This window comes from Homo sapiens, chromosome 1 (genome assembly GCF_000001405.40).
Source record: "Homo sapiens chromosome 1, GRCh38.p14 Primary Assembly".
Lineage (NCBI taxonomy): Eukaryota > Metazoa > Chordata > Mammalia > Primates > Hominidae > Homo > Homo sapiens.
The window spans coordinates 229623179-229644198 of NC_000001.11; the positions used below are offsets into that span (position 1 = coordinate 229623179).

The 21020-nt window shown below is 46.1% G+C and overlaps 2 protein-coding genes across 6 annotated transcripts in view, besides 7 other annotated features; one reads left to right on the forward strand and one right to left on the reverse strand.

Moving 5' to 3' along the window:
* Positions 1 to 2944, reverse strand: part of TAF5L (TATA-box binding protein associated factor 5 like) — a 32989-nt gene extending 30045 nt beyond the window's left edge. For 2 of the 3 annotated variants that reach the window (NM_014409.4, NM_001025247.2), the window contains exon 1: positions 2707 to 2944. The gene's annotated coding sequence lies outside the window, so the exon portion shown is untranslated. Of the gene's footprint in view, positions 1 to 2419; positions 2466 to 2706 lie in introns of those variants that run through there. The other variant, XM_005273099.5, reaches the window with a different exon arrangement.
* Positions 458 to 1008: an enhancer, noted in NCBI's record as "NANOG-H3K4me1 hESC enhancer chr1:229759383-229759933 (GRCh37/hg19 assembly coordinates)". NCBI's record gives its function as "activates a minimal SCP1, AML or CMV promoter by ChIP-STARR-seq in naive H9 embryonic stem cells {active_cell/tissue: H9 hESC(naive)}" and the evidence as "EXISTENCE:reporter gene assay evidence [ECO:0000049][PMID:30033119]".
* Positions 1853 to 1902: an enhancer, noted in NCBI's record as "active region_2705". NCBI's record gives its function as "activates an Ori minimal core promoter by ATAC-STARR-seq in GM12878 lymphoblastoid cells {active_cell/tissue: GM12878}" and the evidence as "EXISTENCE:reporter gene assay evidence [ECO:0000049][PMID:35858748]".
* Positions 2393 to 2582: a silencer, noted in NCBI's record as "silent region_1934". NCBI's record gives its function as "represses an Ori minimal core promoter by ATAC-STARR-seq in GM12878 lymphoblastoid cells {active_cell/tissue: GM12878}" and the evidence as "EXISTENCE:reporter gene assay evidence [ECO:0000049][PMID:35858748]".
* Positions 2673 to 3372: a silencer, noted in NCBI's record as "silent region_1935". NCBI's record gives its function as "represses an Ori minimal core promoter by ATAC-STARR-seq in GM12878 lymphoblastoid cells {active_cell/tissue: GM12878}" and the evidence as "EXISTENCE:reporter gene assay evidence [ECO:0000049][PMID:35858748]".
* The window catches only part of URB2 (URB2 ribosome biogenesis homolog), a 33954-nt gene continuing 16002 nt past the window's right edge, over positions 3069 to 21020 (forward strand). For 2 of the 3 annotated variants that reach the window (NM_014777.4, XM_005273360.3), the window contains exons 1-5: positions 3069 to 3178; positions 4443 to 4581; positions 9091 to 9267; positions 11739 to 15069; positions 20355 to 20515. In NM_014777.4, coding sequence (NP_055592.2) covers positions 4456 to 4581; positions 9091 to 9267; positions 11739 to 15069; positions 20355 to 20515 — 3795 coding nt within the window. In that variant the 5' untranslated portion in view covers positions 3069 to 3178; positions 4443 to 4455. Of the gene's footprint in view, positions 3179 to 4411; positions 4582 to 9090; positions 9268 to 11738; positions 15070 to 20354; positions 20516 to 21020 lie in introns of all 3 variants that reach the window. The other variant, NM_001314021.2, reaches the window with a different exon arrangement.
* Positions 3563 to 3642: an enhancer, noted in NCBI's record as "active region_2706". NCBI's record gives its function as "activates an Ori minimal core promoter by ATAC-STARR-seq in GM12878 lymphoblastoid cells {active_cell/tissue: GM12878}" and the evidence as "EXISTENCE:reporter gene assay evidence [ECO:0000049][PMID:35858748]".
* Positions 12626 to 13127: an enhancer, noted in NCBI's record as "H3K4me1 hESC enhancer chr1:229771551-229772052 (GRCh37/hg19 assembly coordinates)". NCBI's record gives its function as "activates a minimal SCP1, AML or CMV promoter by ChIP-STARR-seq in primed H9 embryonic stem cells {active_cell/tissue: H9 hESC(primed)}" and the evidence as "EXISTENCE:reporter gene assay evidence [ECO:0000049][PMID:30033119]".
* Positions 13128 to 13627: an enhancer, noted in NCBI's record as "H3K4me1 hESC enhancer chr1:229772053-229772552 (GRCh37/hg19 assembly coordinates)". NCBI's record gives its function as "activates a minimal SCP1, AML or CMV promoter by ChIP-STARR-seq in primed H9 embryonic stem cells {active_cell/tissue: H9 hESC(primed)}" and the evidence as "EXISTENCE:reporter gene assay evidence [ECO:0000049][PMID:30033119]".

Genomic DNA, 21020 nt, shown 5'->3' on the forward strand with positions numbered 1-21020 from the left:
CAGGAGAATCGCTTGAACCCGGAAGGCGGAGGTTGCAGTGAGCCAAGATCACGCCATTGCACTCCAGCCTGGGCAACAAGAGTGGAACTCCGTCTCCAAAAACAAAACAAAACAAAACAAAATACTTTCTACTGCCTCCACTAGTGTGAAGGATAGAAAAATTGAGTGTCTACTGTGTCATTTCCAGGTTGCTCTAATCTGCCTGTTTACCTCACTGGACCAATCCTTGGTTCTTCTTACTCTACTGGTGGGTCCCACTCCACCTTCTCCCCTCAGGGGCCCTCCAGTAGTTGGAGGCACTGCCACACTGGCACTACAACCTGGTTTGGCTAAATCCCACCCGCACTTCGCAGCTCAGCTTAGCCATGTCTTCCTCCCAAAAGCTTCCTTGATCACAATCCCTTCCACACACGAACCCAGGAACAAATCTGTCACAGAACTTACCCTATTCTTGTCTGTTTCATACACTACCACTACGAATACTTAACACTGAGCATACTCGACGCTAAGACACTTAAAGCATTTAAAATTAAGTGCTTTACATAGACTGCCTTCTTTAAGCTCACAACAAACCTATGAGGTAGGTAACGTTCTTCAGATGGGAAAGCTGAGGCGCAAAGAAGTTACACAGTGCCAGGATGGGAACTCAGGACACCTGGCTGAAGGGTCTGAGCTCTCACCTTCTACAGCATCTTGCTGCTCAAAGGATTCTACATGTGACCAGGGGCTTCCTGAGGGAGCACAACAATGAATGCTTACTAGAAGCTTGCTGAGAGAATGATCAGAACACTTACTACCTGAGAAGCCACCAGTCACATACAAGACAGGCTGGAAACGTGACTTCTAGTACTGTCCACTGAGTAATACTGGTTTAACAGATGACCCCTAGAGCTCCCTTCCAGCAAAACAAATTAGCAGAAACAAAACCCCCTTTCTTTCCCCAGAGATGTCCTTCACAGGTGCTAATATATTGCTTGCAAAACCAAAAACCAGTTACTGAGTAGTTAAGTGAGGCCTTTACCTAGTTTCACAGTGACAGAAGCTCACATAAGCCTCACATTTACAGGCAGGAGCAACAAAACTATTCCAAGATACACTAATTTAATTTGTTGTTGATGACAAAGAAAAATACTCAAAACAAGCCCACCTTTTAATTTTCTAGCTTAGCGCTGATTTTTAAGGCAGGAAGAATTTACGATTCATTAAAAAATTAGCATATATTCCATTTAACGCAAAAACTTAGGACTACAGGGAACCTAGAAGGTATTTTGCCAAAAAGGAAACGATAATAGCTAACATTTAGCTATTTTCATACACATCATTCTTTTTCTGGGTACCTTTAAAAAGGTCGTTTTTTGGGAGGCTGAGGCGGGAGGACTGCTTGAGCCCAGGCCTGGGCAACATAGAGGCACCCTGTCTCTTAAAGATAAAAAAAAATCCACGTTTAAGTTATTCCTTATCATCGCATTTTATAGATGAGGAAACTACAGTTCAGAGAGGTTATGCAGATGGCTACATGGTTTCCATCCTAGGTCTACTGTCACCAAGCTCTATCCACTACATTATGCTGTTCCAAAGTTTAAAGATGTGGCCAGATGCATTTAACCTATTAAGCACAAAACTCCCTTTCCTACTCCCCCTTCCAAGTAGAGCTGTGACCAGGAACTGGGGCACAGCCTCCGTGTCCTCCCCTACATCCCCAACTCAGGTGTTGGCACACTTGAATCGCCTGATATAAGACACGCTCCGCACTTAATGTTCCTCTCAGCACAGCTCCCAACTGCTTGTTAGCAGGAGTCACCATTCCGAGATTCCAATCTGCAAGGTCAGTTTAGGTACAGTAATTTAAGACAGACACTGCATGGGACTGGCACTTACCTTCTGATCCCAGAACCACAAAGACTGCGAGATCCGCATTACAACGACTTTCACAACTGATGGGAGAACTGCATGTAGCGTTCCTGCACTCCACTTCCGCTAAGTCTAAAATGACACCACTGTTTCTAACCATCCACTCACTTCGGACCAACGCCTTATCGAATACATTTTCAAAAGCCTGGCAGCTTCGCGAGCTGGAGGTGGTGAACCCGTCCCACACCATGGGCGCACCAACCTTACCTTGCTGTCATGAGGCAACGAGCCCCGAGAGACACCCTTGCAGGTAAGCACTCTCCTGCAGCAGCTAGTCTAACTCTGGCTCCCCCGTGTCACACGCGGAGATCGACTCCACACCCACCCACGCACGATCACCATGTGCAAAGTTGAATCCCGACTTCGCCGCAAAGACATTTCCTTTTCCCCTACATGCAAAGGAGCTGTGGAGCCGTGCTCCCTGCTTGGCTGTCGGGCACTGGGATACCTTCCCCGCGGGCGCCCGCCACCTCCTCCCCGAGCCCGGCATCCAACCCGCAGGACCCACCCCTGCGCAGGAACGCGACGCCAGTCCAGGTGTAGCCGCCGACTGCAGGCCACGCCGCCGGCCGCAGCCCGGGACTCGGGAGGCCGAGGGCGGAGGCGCGGCCGTCGCGCCCGCGCAGAGCCGCCCGCCGCCCCCCAGCCCCGCCTCCCGCGCCCCACCCCCACCGCCCGCCGGCGGGAGCCAAGGCGCGCCCCGCCGAGGCCCCACCGCCCCGGCCCCCGCCCGCCCGCGCGCGCGCGCGCCTCGCGACCCTCCCGGCCCTCCCCGCCCGTGCTCCCGGCACTCACTGAACATCCCAGGCGGCTCCGGCTCCCCCCGCCGCCGCCGCCTCCGGGATCGGGTTGCTTCCGCCTCCGTCGTCTCTGCCGCAGGGTCTCACTCCGACGGCCGGCTCAGCTGGGCCCCCGCGCCCCGCGCCCCGCCGCCCCCGCCGCCGCTCTGGGCGGCCGCTCCATGACTGACTGACACGGAGCGGGCCGCGGGCTGGGCCGCTCGGGCCTCCAACGCGCAACCGTCTCCGCCAATGGGCGAGGCGCCTCGGCGCTCGGCTGGCGACGCCTGGCGTGCGTGCAGCCCCTCCCCGCTGCGCCGCCGGCGTCCGGCGGAAGGAGCGCGGGTACCGGTCCCACGTGGTGGGGACGCGGGACCCGTACAGCGGCCTCCGCCGCACCGGGACAGCAGCCGCCGCCGCTGCCGCCGTCCTCCCCTGTCTACCCGGAGCTGTCTCGAGCTGAGCCCCCTACCGGGCCGGATCCCGAGGTGAGTCCCCCACCTGCGGTCAGCCCCTGCGGGCAGCCAGGTCCCGAGGTGAGTCCCCCCACCCGGGGCTGGTCCAGAGGAGATCCCCCTACCTAAGGCCGGGCCCAGATGGGGGGCCCCCCAACCCTGCCCAGTTCCGGTGCCGCCAGCAGACTCTGGGCTGGAGCGGCTTCGGCACGCTCCATTCGCGAAGGCGAACTCCCTCCTGGCTCCTAGCTGCTCTCCCCTGGTTCTTGTTGCTTGGTCTCTTTCTGCTGGGCAGGGAGTGCTGGCAGGGCTGTGCTGTCCGCCCTGGACTTCGCATTGCCCGGTAAGGGCGGTTGGAGGCCCGGAGAGCCGAACTCTGGCGGAGCCGGGGAGAGCATCTCGGTTGTCTTTGTAGCCAGTTCAGCAAACACCTGTTATGCACTTTGTAGCTGTCGCGATGGCGGTTCTATGGTATTGAACTTAGAAAGTCAGGCATCGTTGAATTCGTTTTGGACATTTTGACAAAATAGGAAAACTGACAGCACTTGACGTTCTTGTTCTCTGCAGTAGAGTGAAGGATAACTTAATTTCTAAAATGAAAACGTCTTAACGTTCCTTTTTACTATAACTTTTAGGAAACTCAAAGCCAAGTTTACCCAGTTTAATAGTAACTGTAGGTGTTTGGTATGTTTGCTACCCCCGAGATTTCATGGTTTTTTGTTTTCTATTTTTAGTCTTTTCCTTGTGCAAGTATCTCTTGTAGAGTCTTTTTTGAAGTGTATGTGCGTTGTAAATTTATACACGACTGAATAAAAGTGTTAGTGGAAGGTTACTGTTGCAGCTGAAATAACTGTATTCCTTTGGGGTTTTCTTTTTCACTTGGAGACATATTACTTTCTCCGGATATTGCTTATGTATCTTTTCCTCTTTCAATTTGAAACCATGTATGAATGACTCTTTCCACAAGTAATGTAATCACTGATTTTGGCCTTGTTGAATTCCTGAACACTCACCTTTGTGGAAGTGATGTTTGATCATAGCTGGAATACATATAGTCCATCTTCTGTGTGTGCAGTCCATCTTTTGCTTGCTTTTGTCTGAATTTCCCCCAGAAAATTCTGGAGTCAAGCATCTTGTATGTAGATTTACCCCGACAAATCTGTTGATTCATTAAAAACTTTTAAAAGAATACATATTAGGTAAACAAGATACAGTACTGCAATACTGTTGGTTTTCTGGTGCCTGCTCAGTCTGACATTGTTATAGTATTTTTTTTCCCATTGTTTTTAAATTTTAGATAAAGCCTAGCCATGGCTGCTGTTTATTCTGGCATTTCCCTTAAGCTTAAAAGCAAGACAACTTCCTGGGAAGATAAACTAAAACTAGCTCACTTTGCTTGGATTTCTCACCAGTGCTTTCTTCCAAATAAAGAACAAGTAAGTTTAATGTGAAACTCATATTTTTACAGTCTGTCAAGATAATTATCACTTTTATAATTTGGATATTGACAATTGGTTAAAATAAAAAAATAGAGAAAAAGTTGGGGAGGGAACTTTGTTGGAAGTTAAATGTAATGTCAATGAAAAAAGTAATGAGTCAGGTACTTCATTAATACATTTTTTTTTTCTGTTAAAAAACCTCATTTAGGTCGGGGACAGTGGCTCATGCCTGTCATCTCTATTTTGGGAGGCCAAAGCGGGGGATCGCTTGAGGCCAGGAGTTCTAGACCAGACTGGACAACATAATGAGATCCCATCTCTTAAAAAAATTATATATATTATATATGTATATATATGTATATATACATATATAATATATATATAATATATATAGTATATGTATAGTATATATGTATATAATATATATAATATATATGTATATATATTATACATATACATATTATATATGTATATATATTATACATATACATATTATATATGTATATAAATTAGTCAGACATGGTGGCATGTGCCTGTAGTCCTTACTACTTGGGAGGCTGAGGTGGGAGGATCCCTTGAGCCCAGGAGTTTGAGGCTGCAATGAGCTATGATTGTGCCACTTTCACTCCCAGCCTGGGCGATAGAGCAAGACCTTGTCTCTTTAAAATAAATGAACCCACCGAATTTAGCATTTCTTTTGTTTGGAGACATTATATTACAAACTAAGTATATGCATTAATGAACACATTGGGAATTAAGTTACAGAAGTTAGGTTCTGAAAGTCCATTGATAGCTGCATTTGCTTATAAATCCAAAGTGATGTTTCTTAAACTGTTGGTTGGTGGTGCTTTGTTAAAAGTCTTCCGCATTGGATAAATTGAAGGTTGGGAAGTAGAGAAATGTTAGTATTTGTATAAAGCCATTTTAGAAATGGGCTAGGTACCAAGAAAGGCATTGCATTTTGTTAGAATTTCTCAGGCTTTTTAGGCTAAAAATTAGTTGGCATGATAAACACCAGGATGACAAGCTCATGAAATTGGATTAATACACATCCAGTTGCTGTTGTCAAGGAAGACAGCACAAAATGCTTCCAAGATGGATGACATATGTAAAGCGATGATGACGTGTGGTGTGGAGAGCAGCGGTCATATCCAGTGCTTTCTACACCTGGCTGCACTTGGGAGTCATCTTGGCAGCGTGGCCATCACCTGGCAGGTGCTGCCCAGGGTGAAACAAAGGGGAGGCTCTAGCAGCCAATTGGATCAAGGTTTCTGCTGTTGTTATACTGAGAGATTTTATTCCTTCTGGCATCTGTCACTATTCATACTGTTATTGACAGTTCTGGGATTGTGAGCTTTCTTCAATGTTTTGTGAAGAGGAAACATGACACGTAATGGAACCTGTATAGATAGGCACAGTCCTCCTTTTCATAAAGCACTTGTATGATTTCATATCAACTGTGTCTGTCTCCCAGATGATGTATAAATATTAGTAGTATTAGAGGTTAAGCTGTAGGTAATGTGGGGGAAGCCAGGACACAAATCCCAGACTTTCAACTCTTAACTTACTTTTTTGCTTCGTGTGTCTGATACATTCTGTGGTCATTCTGAGCAGTCTTTGTATTTCTAACTTTTAGAACTTGGTACATGCATATCTCAGAGATACTGCAGGTTTGGTTCCACGTCACTGAAATAGATCACAATATTGTGAGTCACAGAAATTTTTTGGTTTCCTAGTGCATATAAAATTTATGTTTATACTATACTGTGGTTTGTTAAGAATGCAATAGCATTATGCCTAAAAAAAGTACATATCTTAATTTTAAAAAATTGCCCAAAAATGCTAGTGGTTATTGGTTATCTGAGCCTTTAGGGAGTCATCATGCTGGAGGGTCTTGCCTTAATGTTGATGATCTGGGTAGTGATTGCTGAAGGTTAGGGTGACTGGCAACTTCTTAAAATAAGACAACAGTGAAGTTTGCTGCATTGATGGAGCTTTTCCTTTCATGAAAGACACAGCATTTTACCCACAGTAGAACTTCTTTCTAAATTGGACTTCTCAAAACCTGCCACTGCTTTATCAACTAAGTTTAAGTTCTATTCTCAATCCTTTGTTGTCATTTCAGCAATGTTCACAGCATCTTCACCAGGAGTAGATTCCATCTCAAGAAACCACTTTCTTTGCTTATCTCTAAGAAACAACTTATCCATTCAAGTTTTATTAGTCCCATCTTCAGGCTCCACTTCTAATTCTAGTTCCCTGGCTATTTCCATTATATATGCAGTTGCTTCCTCCACTTCAGTCTTGAGCCCTTCAAAGTCATCCATGAGGACTGGAATCAGCTTCTTCCAAACTCCTGATAATGTTGATATTTTGACCTCTTTCCATGATTCAGGAATATTTTTACTGGCATCTAGAGTGGTGATTCTTTCCAGAAGATCTTCAGTTTGACTTTCTCCACATCCGTCAGAGAAATCACTATGGCACCTATAGCATTAGGAAATGTGTTTCTTAAATAATAAGACTTGAAAGTCAAAAGTACTCCTTGATCATGGGTTGCAGAATGGATGTTGTGTTAGCAGTCATGAAAACAACATTCATCTCCTTGTACATCTCCATCGGAGCTCTTGGTCACCCAAGAGCAGTAATCTTCTTATAGGAATCTTTTTGTTCTGATCAGTCTTGACATGAGCTTAAAATCTTCAGTAAACCATGCTGTAAACGGATATGCTGTCATTCAGGCTTTGTTTTTCCATTGACAGAGCACAAACAGAGTAGATTTAGCATAATTCTTAAGGGCCCTGTGATTTTGGGGATGGTAAATGAGCACTGGCGTCAAAGTTACCAGCTGCATTAGACCTTAATAAGAGAGTCAGCCTGTCCTTTGAAGCTTTGAAGCCAGGCATTGACTTCTCTTCTCTAGCTATGAAAGTCCTAGATGGTAGCTGGGCACAGTGGCTCACGCCTGTAATCCCAGCACTTTGGGAGGCCAACGCAGGTGGATCACCTGAGGCCAGGCGTTCGAGACCAGTCTAGCCAACATGGCGAAACCCCTAAAAATAAAAAAAAATTAGCCAGGCATGGTGGCGGGCACCTGTAATCCCAGCTACTCAGGAGGCTGAGGCAGAAGAATCGCTTAAACCTGGGAGGTGGAGGTTGCAGTGAGCCGAGATCGCGCCATTCCACTCCAGCCTGGGTGACAAGAGCGAAACTCCGTCTCAAAAAAAAAAAAAAAAAAAAAAAGAAAGTCCTGAATGGCATCTTCCAATAGAAGGCTGTTTCTTCTACTCTGAAAATCTGTTGTTTAGTTTAGCCAACTTCATCAGTGATTTTAGCTCGACCTTCTACATAACTTCACCTGGAACTTTTATGTTATGAAGATGGCTTCTTTCCCTAAACTTCATGAACCAACCTCTGGTAGCTTCTAGCTTTTCCTCCGCAGCCTCCTTACTTCTCTCAGCCTTCATAGAATTGAAGAGAGTTAGGGCCTTGCTCTGGATTAAGCTTTGGCTTAAGGGAATGCTGTGATTGGTTTGATCTTCTATCCAGACCACTAAAACTTTCTCCATATCAGCAATAGGCGGTTTCACTTTCTATCATTTGTTGTTCACTGGAGTAACACTTTTAATTTCCTTCAAGAACTTTTCCTTTGCATTCACGATTTGGTTAATTGGCTCAAGAGGCTTGGTTTTGGTCTATCTCACCTTTCAGCATGCCTTCCTCACTAAGCTTAATTATTTTTAGCTTTGGATTTAAAGAGACATGCAGCTAGTCCTTCCACTTGAACACCTGGAGGCCATTGTAGGGTTAGCTGGCCTAATTGCAATATTATTGCGTCTCAAGGAATAGGAAAGCCAGAGGAGAAGGAGAGAGGGGAAAATAGCCCGTCAGGGTAATAGCATTTTGGTGGAGCAGTCAGGATGCATAGAACATTTATTGATTAGGCTTGCTGACTTACAAGGACACGGTTCATGGTGCCCCAAAACAATTAGAATAGTAACATCAGTGATCACTGGTCACAGAGTACCTTAACAAATATAAGAATGGAAAAGTTGGAAATACTGGGAGAATTACCAAAATGTGGCAGAGACATGAAGCAAGCACATGCTGTTGGAATAAAGGATCTGATAGACTTGCTTGGCACAGGGTTGCCATAAACCTCCAATTTGTAAATGCAATATCTGTATCTACAAGGCACAATAAAATGAGGTATGCCTGTATAACCTCAAAAAACGGGTTAAGACGTGTTAGTTTCACCTGAAACTTTTAATTTGCCCTAGCTGAAGACAAATTTGTTGTTTTCCTGTTCTTATCCTTTAATAATAAACATTTTAAAATACCAGAACACGTAAGTAATATTATCAAAGGTAAGTTGTAAAAGAGAGGTTCTCCCCCGCCGCCCCCGTGGCAATTGGATTTGCTTATACCTGTAATGTCCCTATAATGTCTAACATCTTTCTCTCAGCAAATAAATTTATTTTCAGTGTATGTGTCCTTCAAATTCAGGTGTTACTTGATTGGGCAAGACAATCATTGGTTGCATTTTATAAGAAAAAGCTTGAACTGAAGGAAGATATTGTTGAAAGGCTTTGGATCTATATAGATAACATTTTACATAGCAGAAAATTGCAGAATCTCCTCAAGAATGGAAAGACCATTAATCTTCAGATTTCCCTAGTCAAGGTAATTCACTTTTCTGTTCTGTATGTGTTGCATGCATCTCCATTGATTTCTTGTTAATGCTGGAAACTTGTTTTAGTGTCAATTGTATGAAGATATAGGAAATACTAAGGTAGGAGAAAAAGGATGTAATATTATTGGAATTAAAATAGTAACTATTGAATGTGTATCATATGCTCTAAGCATTTTGTTATTTAATATTCAAAAAAAGCTTGGAACGATTTCATAAACAGGTCATTGATTACCTTTTTAATTGGAAAAGGTAGCTAGCAAATTATGCTTCTCTGATTTGTTTTTCTTCTTCTTTACCTTTCTTTTGGGCTAGAGGGAGATCAAAGGCCAAAATCCGGACAGGAATTTCCTCAAAGGTTTTTTTTTTTTTTTTTTTTGCCACTACGGCCTTCGAGCCACAAGTGCCACTAGTGGCTTGGCCGGCAACCCGGGGCCACCTCAGTTTTTGACTGAAAGTGATTTTGAAGTCTCAGATCAGAAGTAGGAACTTCATTGTCAAAACTGAGTGTGTTTAAATACCATGAGAATAGCTAGATACAATAAAAACTACTACTAGTGAGCACTTCATGTGTGCCAGGCTCAAAGAAGTTTAACTTTCCTAAAGTCACATGGCTAGTTAGTGGCACAGCTGGGATTTGAACCTCACTCTGCCTGAGTGTAAATCCTGGGCTATGAAGCCATAACACTGCCTCACCCTCATGAGTGTGCGGGCTGAGAGAAAATCGTTAGAGGCTAGTAACGGAGGGGAACGAAGGTTGAGCTGCCCAATGGCGCATAGGGCTTAATGGTTCTTGAGATTGTGTTCCAAACTGGGTCACTTTTTAAAATAATAAACCAGTGGTCACCAAAGTGGCTTATTTCAAAGGATCTTTTGGAATATGGGAAGAAAATCTTAGAATGTCTCCTTGTTTAAAAAGCCATACTTAAATTTTATTTTTATGTATGCTTCATAATTATATAAAATGTTAGTGCTGCAGCATATGTGCATAATTTATAAATAAATTACACTTATTGAATATAAATGCAGGAAAAATCGATGAGTTGTATCATCATCAAAAATTTGGAGATCACTGTAATAGTGCATTGACATTTAAGGATTTCTCATCTTTGTTACAGCGTTTCCAGAGTAACTTTAAAAGCCAGCAATTACTTGAATAGAAATTATAATACCTATCTCATTAGGGCACTGATAACTTAGCACCTGGGATAGGTTTGGTTCTCAGATTCCATAAGGCTGGGAGCAAGTAACTTAACCTGTGACTGAATTATAGAATCTGCCTGATTCTCATAATTTCTGGTGTTTGTGAATTTTGGAATTTTGAGAGCAGTAGACAATAGATTTGCTGTATAATAAGCAGTAGCAACATAACATTTGCTTTCCTTTTTAAAAAATTTTTTTGAGATAGAGTCTCTGTCACCCAGGCTGGAGTGCAGTGGTGTGATCTTGGCTCACTGGAACCTCTGCCTCCTGGGTTCAAGCGATTCTTGTGCCTCAGCCTCCCGAGTAGCTGGGACTACAGGTGTGCACCACCATGCTCGGCTAATTTTTATATTTTTAGTAGAGATGGTGTTTCACCATGTTGACCAGGCTGTTCTCGAACGCCTGGCCTCAAGTGATCCGCCCCGACTCAGCCTCCCAAGGTGTTGGGATTACAGGCATGAGCCACCATGCCCAGCTGCTTTCCTTTTTAAAAGAGTGCCTTTTGCTTTGGCTTTTTTAAATAGAAAAAGTATAATTGACTATAAACATGCATTTTTTTTTCTTTTTTCAGACAGGGTCCCGCTCTGTCACCCAGGCTGGAGTGCAGTGGCTCGATCCCAGCTCACTGCAACCTCTGCCTCCCAGGTTCAAGCAGTTCTCCTGCCTCAGCCTCCCAAGTAGCTGGGATTACAGCTGCCTGCCACCATGCCCGGTTAATTTTTTCATTTTTAGTGGAGTCAGGTTTCACCACGTTGGCCAGGCTGTTCTCAAACTCCTGACCTCAAGTGATCCGCCTGCCTCGGCCTCTCAAAGTGCTGGGATTACGGGTGTGAGGCACTGTGCCTGGCCTATAAACATGTATTTTGGACCACAAGATCATAATTTAAGTGCAACTTTCCCTCTGCCTGGTAACATCTAAGCTCAATTGCAGGTTTAGGATCTAAGAGAAAGTGACATTTGGTATTTAAGCCCTTTAAAACCCAGCTTTAAAAAAAGGGACAGCAAATTTACAAAGGCACGGATCCTTTTCTAGATTTGCATTGGTAGAAGATGGATGGGTGGAGGAATTGAAACAGATGCTTTGCCTTATTTTGATGCACTAAGCTTATGTCAGGTTCATTGAAATATGGTAATCTGGGCATTTCTTTCTTACCAAGATGAGGGAAAGGGGTGAGTTTGTTGATTTTTTTTTTTAATACTTTTCTTGTGTATGTATGGGTTTAAGGTCAGTAATGAATTTTCTTTCTTTCTTAATGTTCAGATCATCAATGAGAGAGTAGCTGAGTTCTCTCTTTCGGGATCCCAAAGAAACATCTGTGCTGTCCTTCGATGTTGCCAGGGCATCCTGTCGACACCTGCCCTGGCTGTCATCTACACGGCCAAACAGGAGCTGATGGTGGCCTTGCTGAGCCAGCTTTGCTGGTCGGCCTGCAGGCAGCCCGAAGGAGCTGTGGTAGCCCAGTTGTTTGAGGTCATTCACCTGGCCCTTGGCCATTATCTCTTGATCCTGCAGCAGCAGGTCAACCCAAGACGTGCCTTTGGGGATGTGACTGCTCACCTGCTCCAGCCGTGCCTGGTCCTGAGGCACTTACTCTCTGGGGGCACATGGACGCAGGCTGGCCAGGGCCAGCTGAGGCAGGTGCTGAGCCGGGACATCAGGAGTCAGATTGAGGCCATGTTCCGAGGAGGGATTTTTCAGCCTGAGCTACTGTCATCCTACAAGGAGGGGCTCTTGGACCAGCAGCAAGGGGATGTGAAGACGGGAGCCATGAAGAACCTTCTGGCTCCCATGGACACCGTGCTTAACAGGCTGGTTGATGCTGGCTACTGTGCAGCATCCCTTCATACCTCTGTTGTGGCCAACTCAGTGGCCTTGCTGTATAAGCTCTTTCTAGATTCTTACTTTAAGGAGGGAAACCAGCTTCTCTGCTTCCAGGTTCTCCCCAGGTTGTTTGGCTGCTTGAAGATTTCACACCTGCAGGAGGAGCAGAGCAAAGCCCTGTCCACATCAGATTGGACCACAGAGCTTTTGGTTGTGGAACAGCTACTAAACTCAGTGGCCAACAACAATATCTACAACATCGCTGCCGACAGAATTCGGCACGAAGAGGCTCAGTTCCGCTTTTACCGCCACGTGGCTGAGCTGCTGATAAACCATGCACAAGCACCCATACCGGCCTGGTTCCGCTGTCTGAAGACTTTGATATCTCTGAATCATTTGATTTTGGAGCCAGACCTGGATGACCTGCTGGCTTCAGCGTGGATCGATGCCGAGGTAACAGAGTTTCGAACCAAAAAAGCCCAGGAGGCGCTTATTCGTACTGTCTTCCAGACTTATGCCAAACTCCGACAAGTGCCACGGTTGTTTGAAGAGGTTTTGGGGGTGATCTGTCGTCCAGCTGCTGAGGCACTGAGGCAGCCTGTGCTGGCCTCGGGCCCCTCCACGGTACTCTCTGCATGCCTCCTGGAGCTGCCTCCAAGTCAGATCCTGGACACGTGGTCCCTTGTGCTGGAGAAGTTCCAGTCTTTAGTCTTGCCCTATTTGCAGAGTGATGCCGACATGGCCCTGAAATCACTGTCACTGAGCTTGCTGCTGCACTGCATCATGTTCAACATGAGGAGCCTGGACAGCAGCACGCCTCTGCCCATTGTCAGACGGACACAGTGCATGATGGAGAGGATGATGAGGGAGCTCGTGCAGCCCCTGCTGGCCCTTCTCCCGGACACCCCAGGCCCAGAGCCAGAGCTGTGGCTGCAGAAGGTCAGTGACTCTGTGCTCCTGCTCTCTTACACTTGGGCCCAGGTGGACGCTATGTTCAGTTTGAACTGTAGCCAGTATCACTCTATGTCTGGGCCCCTTATAGGTGTTGCTCTGGAGATCTCGAACCTCCCTTCGTTGCTCCCAGGTGTAAAAACACAGCATTGGAAGAAGATAGAGAAGTTTACAGCTCAGTTCAGCTCTCTTGGTACATATTGCTTAGAACAGCTGTACCTGCAGAAAATGAAAAGGACTTTAATGCAAACTAGTTTCCGGTCTGAAGGAGCCATCCAAAGTTTGAGGTGCGATGCTGCCTTTATTATTGGTTCCGGCAGAAAAAGCTTGAATCAGAGAACGACGGCTTCCTGGGATGGCCAAGTTGGGATGGTGAGTGGACTCACATACCCTGTAGCACACTGGCACTTGATTGTGTCAAATCTCACAATTTTAATATCCTATCTGTGTCCAGATGATGTGGGATACCTGGCCAGTGTCCTGCTGAGAACTTTACCCATGGGCAAAGCCCAGGAAGTCTCAATAGATGAAGAGGCATACATCACACTGGAAAAAATATCCAAAGCCTTCCTTCATAGCCCTCTCTTTCCAGAGATGCAGTCCCTTCATTCTGCTTTCTTAACGTGCGTAACCACAAGTTGCTCCAGCATTCTGTGTTCTGGTGCCCAGCGTGACTCAGGTCTTGTCAGTCAGCAGCTTCCCTGGCTTTTTGAAAAGGACCACATGGTTGTGGGTCATTGGGAAAACAGATTTGCAAAAGCTGGACCCGAAGGTATAGAACCTAGAGGAGAAATTGCCCAGAACTTACTGTCCCTGGTCAAGAGTGACTTCCCTATCCAGCTGGAGGGAGAGCAGTTGGAAAGCATCCTGGGGCTTTTGGAAGTGATTTCTGCCTTACAGCTGGACAGCCTCTTGCCACCCTATCATGTGCATTATTTTCTTGTGTTACTGTCCATGGCCGTCACCAAACTAGGATGCTCTTGCTCCTCCTCACTGGCTCTCAAGTTCTTGACGACTTGCTACCAACTTCTTGGTTACTTGCAAAAGGGGAAAAGTGCTCGCTCTGTGTTCAAGATCATGTATGGTAGTGATATTTTTGAGGTTGTACTGACCTCATTGTTCAGAGCTAGTAGTAGGTTCCTTATTGAGATGGATGATCCCGCTTGGCTGGAATTCCTCCAAGTGATAGGGACGTTCTTAGAGGAGCTAATGCAGATGCTCATCCAAATGAAGCTGAGCTTGGTGCTCAATTTTAGAAAAATCACCGCATTCCTCTCTAGTTCCAAACCATACACGGAGGCAGCTTCAAGCAAACAATTAGAAAATCAGAACCCCCAGGGCAGGCAGCTCCTTCTGGTGTCTTTAACCAGGTTGTGCCATGTCCTGGGACCTTTCCTCAAAGAGCAGAAGCTGGGCCAAGAGGCCCCAGCAGCACTGTCTGAGCTGCTGCAGCAGGTTGTGCTGCAGACAGGAGCTGTGCTGCAGCTCTGCTCAGTGCCGGGGGCCCGGGGCTGGCGCCTTCCCTCGGTCCTCATCTCATCCGTCAGCACGCTCTTGGAAGCCGACCTGGGTCAGCACTGCAGGGATGGAGGGGCCGACATTTCCCAAGGAAGCGACAGGACGCTGCTCTCCCATGTTGCCCTCTACCAGGGTGTTTACTCTCAGATACTGTTGGAGTTGCCAGCTCTCGCGGGACATGATCAGTCTTTTCAGGCAGCCTTGCAGTTTTTGACTCTGTTCTTTTTGGCCCCAGAACTGCATCCCAAAAAGGACTCCGTGTTTACCTCCATGTTTCATTCTGTGAGAAGAGTTCTTGCAGGTAAGATATTTTCTCTTGAGCTAATTCTGTGTTATAGAGGTCTGGTTTCCACTGCTCCCCTTTTTGGAACTGGGAATAAGTGAACACGTGATGTGTTCAAAAGGTACCACATGTGCGGCTGGGTGCGGTGGCTTACACCTGTAATCCCAGCACTTTGGGAGGCCGAGGCGGGCGGATCACAAGGCCAGGAGATCGAGACCATCCTGGCTAACACGGAGAAACCCCATCTCTAGTAAAAAATACAAATAATTAGCCGGGTGTGGTGGCAGGCGCCTGTAGTCCCAGCTACTCGGGAGGCTGAGGCAGGAGAATGGCGTGAACCCAGGAGGCAGAGCTTGCAGTGAGCCAAGATCGCGCCACTGCACTCTAGCTTGGGCGACAGAGCGAGAGTCTGTCTCAAAAAAAAAAAAAAGTACTACATGTGGACAGTGAGAAGACCTCCCTTCTAGGCCCAGCACCCACGACTTCATGCCCTCTATTTACATTCTAGGCGTACATAAGCAATTACTGCTACAACGGTTTCCTTGCTTTCTGTGCAAACAGCAGCCTCCTCCGTATGTTGCTCTGCACCTCAGTTGCTCACTGATTTTGGAGGTTGCTCTGTGTACGTTTATAGTTTTGAAATCTGCTCCTCTTCAGCTTTTTAGCCTTTAACTTGTCCTGGCTGCAATGAGATACATAGATACCTGCATCCTTAGTAGGTTCTTATGTATCAGACTTTCAGTGCCATAAATTGACTTTAAAAAGATATGAAAATCTGCCAACTTTAAAAAAGTACAAATCAGAGCCAGGCGTGGCAGCTCACGCCAGTAATCCCAGCACTTTGGGAGGCTGAGGGGGCAGATTGCTTGAGTCCAGGCAACATGGCAAAACCCCATCTCTACAAAAAATACAAAAATTGGCCAGGCATGGTGGCATGCGTCTGTAGTCCCAGCTACTCAGGAGGTTGAAGTGGGAGGATCACCTGAGCCCAGGGAGGTCGGTGCTGCAGTGAGTCTTGATCCTGCCATTGTACTCCAGCCTGGGTGACACAGTGAGATCCTGTCTCATAAAAAAATAAATTAAAAAAAGTACAAATCACTTAATTTCTTTTTTTTTTTTTTTTGAGATGGAGTCTCACTCTGTCTACCAGGATGGAGTGCAGTGGTGCAATCTCAGCTCACTGCAAGCTCCGCTTCCCGGGTTCATGCCATTCTCCTGCCTCAGCCTCCCAAGTAACTGGGACTACTGGCACCCGCCACCACGCCCGGCTAATTTTTTTGTATTTTTTAGTAAAGACAGGGTTTCACCATGTTAGCCAGGATGGTCTCGATATCCTGACCTCATTATCCGCCCACCTCAGCCTCCCAAAGTACTGGGATTACAGGCGTGAGCCACCATGTCCAGCCAAATCACTTAATTTCCAAAGAGCCTCTTACAGTTCCTTGAGGACAGGACTGTGCCTTCCTTAGTTCACCCCTGTCCCCCCACCATATTAGGGTGCTGCCAGGTGCAAGTGCTCACTGGACCAAGGCTAACCTTCAATGTCATCAAAGTGTTTTAGTCTGAAGGCAGCCTTCCAAGCAGCAAACTAGGACCTCGTACACAGCCTCGAAGCAAGAGAGCTCATGTCTTCCTGCACAGAGTCGACCTTTACAGCCCCCCTGGTGAAAGGTTAATGGGTTACTATGCAGCCGTTAAAAATATAATTATGAAAACTATTATGAAGACAAGGGCTAGAAATATCTAGAAAATATTAAGCAAAAAAAGTACAGTATGAAATGTTAAATATGCCACAATTACAGCTATATAAGATATACATGCGTGCAGACAAAGGCTAGAAACCCATCCAAAAATTAAAATAATTATTGTATTAACATGCATGTATTAACATGCATTGTATTATTGCATTAACATGTTGTGATTGTTGCTATTTTCTTATTTTGTACACTTTAATGTTGCATTTTAATAAGAATAAATCAAAATACTTTTCTATGATTTAATTAAATATGCCATAAGCAGGGGATAGATTATAATGTTTTTGGAGGCCCATTTAGAGTTTGTTGAGGTTTTCCTCTACAGTGAAGGATGATTAAGATTTGTTACCTTTATTAGGGTATACAAATAAAACACACTTTTACTCCTCCCAAACAAACAGTTAATGGAAGAGATTTCTTGTTTCAAGATGGCACACATCACAGTTGTGGGGGGTCTTTTCTTTTTTGTTTTGGTGGTAACGAAAGGGCTGGGGTCAGGTCAGTCTTTTGAGGTGAGGTCTGGAAGTCAGCCGAATCTGACCCTCGTTAATGTCACATTAACGTCTGTGTTAAGCACACCTTAACCTCTGTGTTTCTGGGTGGAGAAGCTGTGACGGGTGGGGCCACGGGCGTGCCTTTCGGTACGTGAGGGTTAAATGGGTTCTCGCAGAAAGTAAAGCCATCTGGTCTGCCTGTGCCAGTGCCAGAACTGAAGTGCCATGGGCCAAATCACGCTGCTGTTGTCTCCCTTTCAGTAACCTGTCTCTGGCTGGATTGTGGATTAACTGAAAGGCTTTGATATTACATTGTTCTGTCTTATTGTGTTAGGGTCTCTTTTAGCGAATGGTGTTCACCTTCTTAATGGGGGCTAAAATAGAGTCTTTTATTAAGCCTAATTACAGTGTTCTAAGTGACTGGCCCAAGAAATGGCAGCTGGTGGTCTGAAGCTCTGCCCTGTGCCCCTTAGCTAAAGAGAATATTGTGTCCTCCTTTTCCTCTTCAACCCTACTGAGTTGAGGCAATCTCTTTTTTTTTTTTTTTTTTTTTGAGACAGAGTCTCATTCTGTCACCTAGGCTGGAGTACAGTGGCCCGGTCTCGGCTCACTGCAACCTCCGCCTCCCGGCTTTGAGCGATTCCCATGCCTCGGCCTCCTGAGTAGCTTGGATTACAGGCATGCACCACCATGCCCGGCTAATTGTTGTATTTTTAGTAGAGATGGGGTTTTACCGTGTTGGCCAGGCTGGTCTCGAACTCCTGACCTTAAGTGGTCTGCCTGCCTCAGCCTCCGAAAGTGCTGGGATTACAGGCATAAGCCACCGTGCCTGGCCAAGTTGAGGCAGTCTTTAAGTCCTAAGTGTATGTCCCTGGACTGCTGGTACCTTATTTCCTCAGGGACAGAGCACCTCGGTCACAGTGTGGTCAGGGTTGGGCAAGGCCAGCCTGCCACACTGTGCCCTCAGCTCATGGGCCTGGGGTGTTGCTGTGTCCAGGCCTCTTCCACCTGAGCTGTTAGATACTGTCCAGGGAAGTGCCAGAGTTGTGAGTGCTCTGGAAGAAATGCCAAGTGAGGAGTGGCCCAAGGCTTTGGGCAGGGAGAGGGAGTGTGAAGAGGCGCCGTGCAGGTGCCCCAGCCATGGAGTTCTCCCTGTGTCCTTAAGGATGGCTCAGAGGTGGGCTTTTGTAAAGAATGCCTTCTGACAGCAGAACAGAGGACCTGAATTCAATTACAGAAATCAACACTTCTAAAAATGCTTCTTGGCTGGGAGTGGTGGCTGGCATCTGTAATCCTGCACTTAGGGAGGCTGAGCCAAGAGATCACTTGAGGCCAGGAGTTTGAGACCAACCTGGGTGAAAAAGCAAAACCCCATCTCTACAAAAAGCCGGTGTGGGTAGCATGCACCTGTGGTCCCAACTACTCCGAAGGCTGAGGCGAGAGGACCCCTTGAGCCCAAGAGGTCGAGGCTGCAGTGATCCATGATTGTGCCACTGCACTCCAGCCTGGGTGATGGAGTGAGACCCTGTCTCCAGAAACATAAAAAAAACCAATTAAAATGCTTGTATGTTTGAGGCTGTATCCTGCTCTGGAGATGAGTGAGGTGTTGATTTTGGCCTATGTAATTAAGTAAACAGACATTCGCACAAATCACAGGGTAAAGGTGGGGGAGACGCCATAAAGCGAACCAGAGCGATGGGACTCGGTGGAGAGGCCACATACAGGCCACGTGTGAGTGGCCCTTGAAGGGTAGCTAGGGCAGGTGGAAATGGGAGCCTTTCATGTGAGGGCACTATGTTGTGAGCTCTGTGGCCTTTTTTTGTTTGCCAGCCACAGGAGTTGGTGCTGTTATGCCCACTTCACTGATGAGGGAGTTGAGGTTCAGAGAGATCATGGGTCCAGGGTTTTACAGCTTGTGGGAGACTTGGACCTAGGTCTTTACCTCTCAAAAGTCCCCTTTCCCCCAGTGCTGTAAATAGTAAGCAAAGACAGGAAAGCAGGAAGGTATTCTGGCAATGTGGAATAGGCAGATGGGGCTGAAGCGCTGGCTGGAAAGATGACCTGGGGCCAGACGATAAAGGGCCTTGAGTGCCCTGGCTTTGGGCGTTATTGTGAAACCGTGGGCCCAAGGACACTGGGGATGATGGGGAACAGCTGGGTGACTTCCTGACAGTCATCCAGGCCTGAAAAGTGGAGCTCTCTTAGTCTTTCTGACTTTCCCATCTGTTTAAAATACCACCTACTCTTGCAGCCCTACCGATTTTATAAAGAAACACAAAGAAAATAGAGAAATAAAATACAGTTGACCCTTGAACAACATAGGGGTTAAGGCACCAACCCCCAGCACAGTAAAAAATTCCGTGTATATCCTTCTGATACAATTCTATTAAAAAAATCTTGTATTACTTTTGACTCTCTAGAAACTAAACTACTGATAGCCTACTGTTGACCAAAGCCTTGCTGAACATAAACAGTCGATTACCACGTATTTTGTGTATGTATTTATGTATTATATTCTTACAATCAAGTAAGCTAGAGAAAAGAAGATGTTATTAAGAAAATAACAAGGAAGGGAAAATGTATTTGCCATTCATTAAGTGAAGTAGGTTATCATCAAGGTCTTCATCCTCTTCATCCTCACACTGAGTAGGTTGAGGAGGAGGAAGAGGAGGGGTTGGTCTTGCAGTCTCAGGGGTGCTAGAGGCAGAAGAAAACCCATGTATAAGTGGATCCATGCAGTTCAAACATTGTTCAAGGGTCAACCGCACAAAGCAATAATCACTGTCTTCTGTGGTTCAGGTTTACCTCCTAAGCATGGCTGTCGTCTTCTGTGTTTGTGTGTGTACACACAATGCACAGGCGTAGCTGTGCGTGTGAGAGCATGGCATCACAGTAACTACGTGTACCTGCTTTTTCCACCAGTGCTTATATCACCATGCCCCTAACTTGGTGATTTTTGATGGCGGCCACAGCTGTGCGCAGTTTCATCCTATGGCTACTTGGTAGTTTATTTCACCTGTCACATCTTAACAATTTTGGTTTCTTTCCCACACAGATCCTGAAATTCCTGTTCAGGTCACTCAGGATATTGAGCCTCATTTGGGAGCCTTGTTCACCCAAATGTTAGAGGTTGGGACGACAGAGGACTTGAGGCTGGTGATGCAGTGTATTCTCCAGGGACTGGATGTCAGTAACATGTGGAAAGCAGATGTGCAGGTGGGTGCCTTCTCCCTCCTTGTGTGGCAGGCTCAGAAACCACGTCGGCTCAAATGGGAAAACTGATTTGAGATGTGGTGTCACCCTTAAAACTAAACAAGTTCTAACTGGTAGAGACTCTAGGCAAAGGGGGAGGCTGTGAGAGGGAGCCCTGGCCTGTGGGACAGCCCAGGCTGCGGCATAGGGAGGCCTTAGTTTTCAAACGGGAAGTTTTTCAAATAACAAATGTGTTGTCTTATTACGTTAAATACTAAGTGTTACACATTCACAAAACTGATCCATAAAAAAGTTAAATTCTGCTCATTCTTTGCTGAAGACCTCTCACACCATACTTCTTGAAACATGTGGCCTGATTGGGCCATACTGCCTTCATGCCAGCATTTGAGAAGCACCTAGGTTAGCCTACCCCCTTCAGTTCTGACAGAAGTCGCTAATACAGCCTGCATGGTGTTGCATTTGCTGAGTGCCTTTGCACAGAGCTCACATGCTGGGATTTGTTTCTCTG